Below are 9776 nucleotides of genomic sequence, written 5' to 3' on the forward strand. Positions count from 1 at the left end.
GCCCAGGACGGTGCCTGGCAGGGGCGGCCCCAGGCAGGAGTGAGAACCTCAACGGGCCCAGGACGGTGCTCAGCAGGGGCGGCCCCAGGCAGGTGTGAGAACGTCAGCGGGCCCAGGACGGTGCCCAGCAGGGGCGGCCCCAGGCAGGTGTGGGAACCTCAGCGGGCCCAGGACGGTGCCCAGCAGGGGCGGCCCCAGGCAGGTGTGAGAACCTCAGCGGGCCCAGGACGGTGCCCAGCAGGGGCGGCCCCAGGCAGGTGTGGGAACCTCAGCGGGCCCAGGACGGTGCCCAGCAGGGGCGGCCCCAGGCAGGTGTGAGAACCTCAGCGGGCCCAGGACCGTGCTCAGCAGGGGTGGCCCCAGGCAGGTGTGAGAACCTCAGCGGGCGCAGGACGGTGCCCGGCAGGGGCGGCCCCAGGCAGGAGTGAGAACCTCAGCGGCCCAGGACGGTGCCCGGCAGGGGCGGCCCCAGGCAGGTGTGAGAACCTCAGCGGGTGCAGGATGGTGCCTGGCAGGGGCGGCCCCAGGCAGGAGTGAGAACCTCAGTGGGCCCAGGAAGGTGCTCAGCAGGGGCGACCCCAGGCAGGAGTGAGAACCTCAGCGGGCCCAGGACGGTGCCTGGCAGGGGCGGCCCCAGGCAGGAGTGAGAACCTCAACGGGCCCAGGACGGTGCTCAGCAGGGGCGGCCCCAGGCAGGTGTGAGAACGTCAGCGGGCCCAGGACGGTGCTCAGCAGGGGCGGCCCCAGGCAGGTGTGGGAACCTCAGCGGGCCCAGGACGGTGCCCAGCAGGGGCGGCCCCAGGCAGGTGTGAGAACCTCAGCGGGCCCAGGACGGTGCCCAGCAGGGGCGGCCCCAGGCAGGTGTGGGAACCTCAGCGGGCCCAGGACGGTGCCCAGCAGGGGCGGCCCCAGGCAGGTGTGAGAACCTCAGCGGGCCCAGGACGGTGCTCAGCAGGGGTGGCCCCAGGCAGGTGTGAGAACCTCAGCGGGCCCAGGACCGTGCTCAGCAGGGGTGGCCCCAGGCAGGTGTGAGAACCTCAGCGGGCGCAGGACGGTGCCCGGCAGGGGCGGCCCCAGGCAGGAGTGAGAACCTCAGCGGCCCAGGACGGTGCCCGGCAGGGGCGGCCCCAGGCAGGTGTGAGAACCTCAGCGGGCCCAGGACGGTGCTCAGCAGGGGCAGCCCTCAGTGGATGTGAGCACCCCATGCTCCGGTGCTTCCTCCTGCCAGTCCTCTTGCTCCTTGTCTCAGCTGCGTCTGTCCTCCCGCAGGACGCTCCTGTCAGACACCAATCTGAATGTTTAATTATCATCATTACTATTAAATGGTTTTGTTCTCCTAGCTAACAAATACCACTTTACTGGTGCAGCAGGGTTCTTGCTTGCACTATTGATTATCTAACACACAGAATCATTTGCATGCAGAGGTGGAAGAGACATCTTTGAGCAGCTGGCGGAACCGGCACGTTTGAGAGCTGAGCATTTGGGAAGCTTTTGCGATCTCTTAAATCAAGTGTAGCCTAAAGCTACACTGTCTGCATATTTTAAATTCAACCTACAGGTTCTCTGTAGAGGTGTAAACGGACCATAGCCTACTCTTGCACCAATCACCGAGTTTTGGCCAGTCAAAGGTGGCCAACTGTTCAAACCATGCTCAAACACCACAAGTGCCGAGATGTAACCAATTGGCTGTTTCTGCACCTCACTTCCGTCTTCTGTGCGTCTCTTTCCTTTTTCTGTCCTAAATATTCTTCCACCACGTGGCTGTGCTGGAGTCTCTCTGAACCTGTTCTGGCTCGGGAGGCTGCCTGATTCATGAACCCTTCGTTGCTCAATTAAACTCTGTTAAACTTAATTCTGCTAGAATTTTTCTTTCAACAGGGGCATTGATGAGCAGTTCGCATCAGGGATGTGTTTGGCTCACACTGGCTGGTAACGAGGACCCTTTCCCCTTCACGTGTGGGTGGGAGGAAACCGCAGGTCTTCGTACGCTGCTCATTGTAAGGGCCTGGAATTTCAGGGATGACGATACCACCTATTATGTGGATGGCGTTATTTTTTTGTTCACAAGGAGAATCTTCAACTAATTGTGTGTAATTTCACAGCTACGCTGACGAAGCACGTCAGCACAAGCAAACACAGTCACTGCTGTCCTCCCAGGGTCCCGTAATTACTTTAATATGTGTGCACAATCGCAGCCTGAGAGGACTGTGGGAGGTGCGATCCCATATTTAGAAATGGGGAATCACTAACAACTGTGGGAAACTCTCGAGGACGTCAGAATTTTGGAGAGAGAGGTAAGAAAACAAAATGATGTTTTAATCCTGTTTAAAATCAGTATGCACGTCACAGCTGAACACAGAAAAGGTGATAACATGAAGACTGAAGGGACCCACGATGAGGATACATGAGGAATGAAGTTCGTTTTTCTATTTCTGAACAAGAAAGTTGAAGGGCTATTTTCTAGAACGAAAGAGAGCTGAACGCAGGGATTTCAACTTTTTGGGAAATATAATTGATTAATTTTTTAAAAACTACACTTATTTTTCAAATAATCACAAACCTACAGAAGAGGTGGTAGCACAGTGTGAAGAACTAGATGATGTTCTGCTGTTCAAGAGCCTTTTCATTTCCAGATACATTTCAGGATCAGCTTGTCGATTGCTACCAAAAAAAAAAAAAATACCGTAAGCGATTTTGATTGAAATTGCCTTTTGAAAAATAATTACAAAATTGTAAGACCGATACTACCTAATTTCAAGATGTATTGTAAATGCATGATAATATTTAGATTACCATAATAAATAAGATTTATTGTAAACCTGTGGTATACAACATATTATATACAACAGTGTATCACTGGCATAAAGGTAGACAAATCAACAAGACAGATTAGAGAGTCTGGAAATGGATCCACACATATGTGGACATTTGACTTTCAGAAAGTGTTTAGAGACAATTCAGTGGAAAAAGGATAATCTTTTCAACCAATGGTGCTGAAACTGTTGTATACCTATGTGTTCCAAACGAACAAGCAAACAAAACTTCTGTCCATACCATGCACTATATTTTAAAAAAACTTTAAATGTGTCATAAAACTAAATGTAAAACTTAAAACTATGAAAACTCCTAGAGAAAAGCATAGGCAAAATCATTATAGCATTGGATTAAGAAAAGGCTTCCTAAATATGACACCAAAAGCATGATCTCAAACAAAACCCAACACACATACAAAACCCATATTGTAAACATAAATTACGTAAATTAAAAACTTCTGCTCTTTAAAAGATGCTGTGAGGAGAATGAAAAGGTAAGCCACAAACTGAGAGAAACTAATTGCAAATTACATATTTGATAATGATGGATTTACATCCAGAGAACATAAGGAACTCTAAAAACTCAGTAAGAGAACAGACAACTTGATTAAAAAATGGGCAAAACATTTGAACAGACATTTCCCTATAGAAGATAGGTAGATGGCAGATAAGGACCTGAAAAGATGTTCAACATTACTAGAGATTGAAAAAATGCAAATTTAAACCCCAATGAGGCCTCCATCTATACTTTAACATGGGTAAATGATAAAGAATGACCATGCCAGGTGTTGGCAAGGATGTGGAAAAACTGCAGTTCTCGTGCACTGCAGGTGAGAAAGCAAAATGACGCAGCTATGGAAAATGGTATGGGGGGTTTTTGAAAGATAAACACACCCACCATGTGATTTAGCTGTCCCACCCCTGGGTGTGTACCCAAGAGAAAATAAAGCGTCTACAACATCTGCACACAGATATTCACAGTAGGTTTATTTGTAATAGCTAAAAACTAGAAACAACTCACATTGCCAGCAGTAAGGTCATAGGTAGTAAGCAAATTGTGGTATATTGACAAAATGGAATACTACTCAGCAATGAAAAGGAAGGCACTATTGATCCATAAAGCAGCACAGGCAGGTCCAGAATCGTGACAGAGCAAAAGGAGCTGGACCTCTCTAGGCAATTTGCTGTGTGATTTCATGAGCATACAACTCTGGAAAATGCAGAGTCATCTGTTGTGGCAGGAGGCAGAGCAGCAGCAGTCCTGCATTGAGGGGCCCAGGGAGGATGGGGCAGCTGGGAGAGACACCATGGCCATGGAGAGGGCAACGCTGCCCGTCCTAACCGATGGGCTCATGGGTGTCCAAACGCCAGAGGGCATCAAGCTGCACTGTGGATATGCGGTAAATTGTATGCCTATGACGCCTCCTCAGTAAAGTTGTTAAGAAGTTAAAAAACAAACGAAAGTTACCAGCAGTAAAGGTTTCCCATGTTATGACACTAACGAAAGATAATCAATTTTATTTGTTTTCCATTTTGGTGCCTATTTTCTTTTTCATTTCATTTTGTATTTAAATACATATGTTTCCCAAATCAAAACCATGAAACAGGGAACACTGAGAGAAGTGTCACTTCTGTCCTTATCACCTGCACCCACTTCCTTCCCTCTGCCGAAATAAAAATTGTCTTGGTTTATTTTTCCATTCTTTTTCAAAATAGGAGTGAATGGTACACACACACACACACACACACACACACACACACATACACACACACACATCCCCTTCTCTCTTTTCCAATCAAGGCTGTGGCCTGGTAGGACCATCGCACCCCACTGCTTGGACACACTGATCTGCTGTCCAGGTGATGGCTGAGAGGAGCCCCTGGTGATCTGGAAGGCATGCCGAAATCTGGAGCTGCCTGGGGTCACCAGGCCCAGCTAGTCCCCATTGTTTAGGAACAGAAATGGATGCTTCCTGCCTAGTTTCACTGCTTCACAGCCTAGCTTGGCTTCAGACCCATAGGTTATAAAGACCTCACTAGGAACTTCTGCTTGGATTCCTCCAAAACCAGGATCTCTGCCCAGATCTAGGTGGTTCCTGGTCAGTGCAGGTGCATCCGTGTGGCAGAGCATGGCTGGAGCGCTGCCCTGCAGGTGGGCTGTGCCGCACCTTCACTGGAACCAGAGTCCGGGCTTGCCCCCTACCCCCAAAGCTTATAGCAAATGCACGGATCATGCCACTCTTGTTCACGGCTCTGCCTTGAGACCTAAGGGATTTTCTAAGAGGCTTCGGGAGCCTCATTTCTACTCCTAAGAAGCCAGAATGATGTGAAGTGTGGAAAACCAACTCCATTTCTAAAAGGAAACACATTTACCACATTAGTATCTAACTGTGGGTGACTGGCACTGGTACATTTCTACCTAGTAGCTTACAGGAAATGCATGTCCACCCCCATGATAGCACCTGTGTTCCCAGAATCATTCAAGAAAATGTTATACATTTCCAATGAGAAAGCAAGTCTGCCATTTTAGAACTTTTAGCATTATATTCCTCCCATAAAAATGGCTGAAGCAGAGGAAGTTCAGATGATTATCTATCTATCTATCTATGTCATCTATCAATAGATATGCAATGAGTAAGACAGAGGCAGAGAGAGAGACGGAGATGGAGAGAGAGAGAGAGGGAGATGGAGAGAGAGAGGAAGATGGAGGGGGAGGGGGGAGATGGAAGGGGAGGGGGAGATGGAGGGGAGGGGGAGGGGGAGATGGATGGGGAGAGGGAGATGGAGGGGGAGAGGGAGATTGAGAGGGAGAGGGAGATGCAGGGCGAGAGGGAGATGGAGGGGGAAGGGGAGATTGAGATGGAGAGAGGGAGGGAGATGAGAGGGAGAGAGCATGAGCGATTCTCAAGTGGGCGCCTCACATACTTTCAAAAATGCTTTATTGCTTATGATGTGCTATTTAAAGTGTGTTTCTAAATGTGCCTATTATTAAAAGACATTCTTTGAGAACCATCAAGAACCACCCCCCTTTCCCAGGATGAAAAACATCAATAAAGCTTTTCTTCCTTTGAAAAGTTGGTGGCTGTGATTGGAGCTAGTGCTGGAGATGAAGCCAGGTGTGGGTGATGACAGAGCAGTGTTTCTGGAACTCGTTATTTATATAATAAAAGTATTTTTGTTTGTCTAACGTAATCTTGGCATGTGAAATTGATCTTTGTTTAACGTATTAGGTGGTGTTGAAAACTAACCTGGCTTCTACTGAGACACACTGGTCATGCAGCCTGGAAGGGAAGCTGCCCTTTGCCCTTTGCCCCTCACCCCTCACCCCTTACTGGGCATCTGTGGCTCTGGAATAGAGCCTGTCCTGGGACCCCACAGAGCTGATGGGCGAGACGTGGTCTCCACGGCAGCAAAGGGAGGCAAAGGGGAGAGAGGAGTTCCCCAGCCCTTTCTGTGTCTGCTTAGTTCACATGCAAAAGAAAACATCTTGAGGCAGGAGCGGAGGTAAAACAGCGCCACACAACACACACAACAGGGGGCATTTGCAGCTTGTTAATGCTGATTTAACAGCAATTAGAATGGCATAGATATCTTCCGGGAGGGGGCCATCAAGGCGTTAATTAGAAAAAAATTGAGAGTAAAGAAATACAGGGAGAAAACAAGACATTCTTTAAGAAGCTGTCAACCTGGGCAAGGACGGCCCAGTGGTGGCCCCAGAAGGGGCTTAGAAAGATGGCCCTGAAAGGTGGCCCTGGGAGGTGATTCTTGGGGGTAGCCCTGGGAGGTGATTCTGGGAGGTGATTGTGGGGGGTGATTCTAGGGGGTGGCCCTGGGAGGTGACTCTGGGAGGTGATTCTGGGAAGTGATTCTGGGGGGTGATTCTGAGGGGTGATTCTGGGAGGTGATTCTTGGAGGTGACTCTGGGAGGTGATTCTGGGAGGTGACTCTGGGAGGTGACTCTGGGAGGTGATTCTGGGAGGTGACTCGGGGAGGTGATTCTGGGAGATGATTCCGAGCAGTGATTCTGGGAGGTGATTCTGGGGGGGTGGCCCTGAAAAGTGTCCCTGGGGGATGATCCCGATGTGGCCCTGGGTGTTGGCCCTGTGGGGTGATCCTGGTAGGTGGCCTAGGAAGGTGGCTCTGGAAGGTGGCTGTGGAGTTTGCATGTGGGCCGGGAGCCATGGAGGAAGCACAGCAGGCATCAGCTGTCAGGGAGCTGAAGGAAAAAGAAAGTCCGGGGAATCAGGAGGAGGCCCACTGACAGCCCAGCTCCATCCCCGAGATCCCAGGTGTGAATGTTCCTTTTAAATATCACCACGGCGGTTACTCTCCTCAAACGTCCAGCATGGCCAGAAATGGCAGCAGAGGCACCCAGAGCAGGCACGTGGGGGAGGCAGTGTGTGGCCATCAGGCTGCATGTGGACGGGCCGCCCTTTCTCAGGGCTCTCAGATGCGCTTCCAGAGAGCAGGGTTTGTGTCGCCTGGGTGGTAGAGGATGCGGCCGGGAGCTGCCCTGCAGATGGAGCACGCTGGGAACGTTGGTCACGACACGGAGTCTCTGGGAGGTTGTGGAGGCCAGCGTGGGTCTGAGCCCGTGTCCGTGCCGCCACACAGGGCACGGGAGCCTGTTCAGTCTCCTCTTCTGAATACGAGGGCTTGCAGGAGGGACCAACACAAAATTCGTTTCCGGGCACACGGACGCCTGAGGTAAGAGGGCCGGGGTCGGGGAAGGCAAAGAGGAGCCGGTCCTGGGGCCAGTGTGGGGCCTCTGCTCTGAGGCGCTCTACCCCAGAAGGTGCCTGGCGCTGGGGAGCCACCCTCAGGGGCTCGGCCTTGGCCTGCAGAGAGGGGAGGGCAAGAACTGGTGTCAGCTCCCTCCTCCACTCAACCTCCTGGGTGTGGAAATGCACAGACACCTGGAGCCTCCGTGGGCACCACGCAGTTTTGGGTCGAGGGCTCTGCTCCAAGCACCCCGGGCATAAAGGCGGGCCTTGGCTCGGTCAAGAGTCCAGGCACGCACACTGGCATAAAACACTCCTCCGAAGGAATATGGAAATGTTCCATTTTACTTTGTTCAGGACTCCTAGGAAAATAAAACTTAGACATTTTGTATTTGAAAACATGACCTTCTAACTCTCCGCTATGCAGAAATGGGTTTGGGAAGAAACACATGAGCAGAAAGTCATTAAGCAGCTGCGTCTAGGAGGGCTGTCACCTTGCAGCCACCGAGAGGCTCCTCAGAGCACTCAGGACCACTGGGCGGGGTGAGCGGGCCCAGACTCTCCATCGGGATCCTTTCCCTGGGACTGGGAGCTGCCGCCTTTGCATTCTGGTCTCCCAGGGTCAGCACGACTGACGGCAGCACGGGGCACGTCTCCACACCGACCCCACCGTGACCTACCAGGGCCAGGGCTCCAAGTCCCCATGGAGTCACTGCTGGAATTAGGAGCAGCTAAAACCAACGGTGTTGTAAAAAGTAAAGTAGAGGTTCCCCTTCAAAGAGACTCTCCTCCCTGTCTTATTAGAAATAAACAGTAACTTCTCTTAGAAGCAAAGCAAAATTTATCCAAAGACCTGTGCTGACATTCTTAAATATCTGCTAGCCGTAATAAATCAATGTACTTTATGCTCTTAGCTCCCACAATTTAGCCTAAATAGTTGCCCTGGCATGCTTACACTGGTCCAAGCGGGCATTAGGCCATAGCCTGTTTCTCTTCCTTATTTGAAGGTGTTTTTACCTTTCTCAGCATTCCACAAGTTACTTCCTCCTTCCTTTGTTCTCCGCTGCCTTTGCCTCTTTTAAAAAGTTCTAAGTTGCTAGGTAGTCGGGACAAATACAGAATGTGAGGTCCCATTCCATCCAATGGAAACCAGACACAGCAGTAGGGTGGACGCATCAGGTTATAAAAGACCCTGTCTCCTTTGTTCAGTGTACTCTCGTGGCAAAACTACTGGCGAGCGTACCCTTTCTGCACAAAGTAAAAATGGCCTTGCTGAATAAATTAAATTTATGTTCAAGTGCTATTTCTTTGCGGCACCGGAGAACAAGCATTTCCAACAGTGTCCCCTGCGCCATATCTGGCCACACTTCCTCCTCCCTTCCTGGTGCTCATTCAGTCACTTGTTTGGAAAATGTTTATTAGGACCTAGAGAACTGGCGGTGTGGTTCGCTGTTTCCTGTACCTCAGGTGTAGCCATTAAGAGAGTAATAAATCTGACTGCATGCATATCAACAGGTGAGGAAAACTGGTCACAAATAAAAGCACATCATCATTTTATTTTGGTAGAAACATACATGACGAAAATTTTGGAAGGACAATTTTGAGTGGTGGATATGTGTCACTTCTACTATCCTTGGATAGAGGAATTTTGGGTTATTTTTATCTTTTATTTTACACTTTCAATATTGATTATTACAAAACACGTGTATCTTTCATATTTAGGAAAAATCAAGTAAATCTATTTCAACGTTTAAAATATATTGAAGCACTGCTCCATAAATATTATTTTAAGAAGAAAGTATTACTCCAGGTTCACGGAGAAGGAAAAAAAAAATCACAAGAAGGCTGTTTCCTGAGGCCTATTTACAAAACATTCACATTGATCAACTTTGGAAGTCAGGCTCTCAAAGGAAATGTGCACAGAGGTGCCCATGTCTGATATTCTTATCCTGTAGAGGAAAGGAAGTCAGCCCAAGCGGGTCTGAGGCTCACACACTGACCACGGAGGAAACCACACTCCGGGTTGCTTTGCCCATCGGCGGCAGGGCCGGACCTCAGGGCTCTCCTGACACTGGCGTGTTCCAGTCCTGGCTGCATCTGAGAATCACCTGGAAACTTTAAAAACGCGGGTGCACGGTCCCGCGGGGCTTCTGATTCACTCAGCCTGGGGTGTGGCCTGGCCATCAGGACTTTAAAGCTCCCCAGGATGTTCTAAATATCCTGCCAGGGCTGAGAGCCTCTG

The 9776-nt window shown here is 50.0% G+C and overlaps 1 annotated feature.

The window, feature by feature from the left end:
• Positions 522–1501: an enhancer, noted in NCBI's record as "H3K27ac-H3K4me1 hESC enhancer chr6:168759025-168760004 (GRCh37/hg19 assembly coordinates)". NCBI's record gives its function as "activates a minimal SCP1, AML or CMV promoter by ChIP-STARR-seq in primed H9 embryonic stem cells {active_cell/tissue: H9 hESC(primed)}" and the evidence as "EXISTENCE:reporter gene assay evidence [ECO:0000049][PMID:30033119]".

The sequence above is a fragment of the Homo sapiens genome, chromosome 6 (assembly GCF_000001405.40).
Source record: "Homo sapiens chromosome 6, GRCh38.p14 Primary Assembly".
Lineage (NCBI taxonomy): Eukaryota > Metazoa > Chordata > Mammalia > Primates > Hominidae > Homo > Homo sapiens.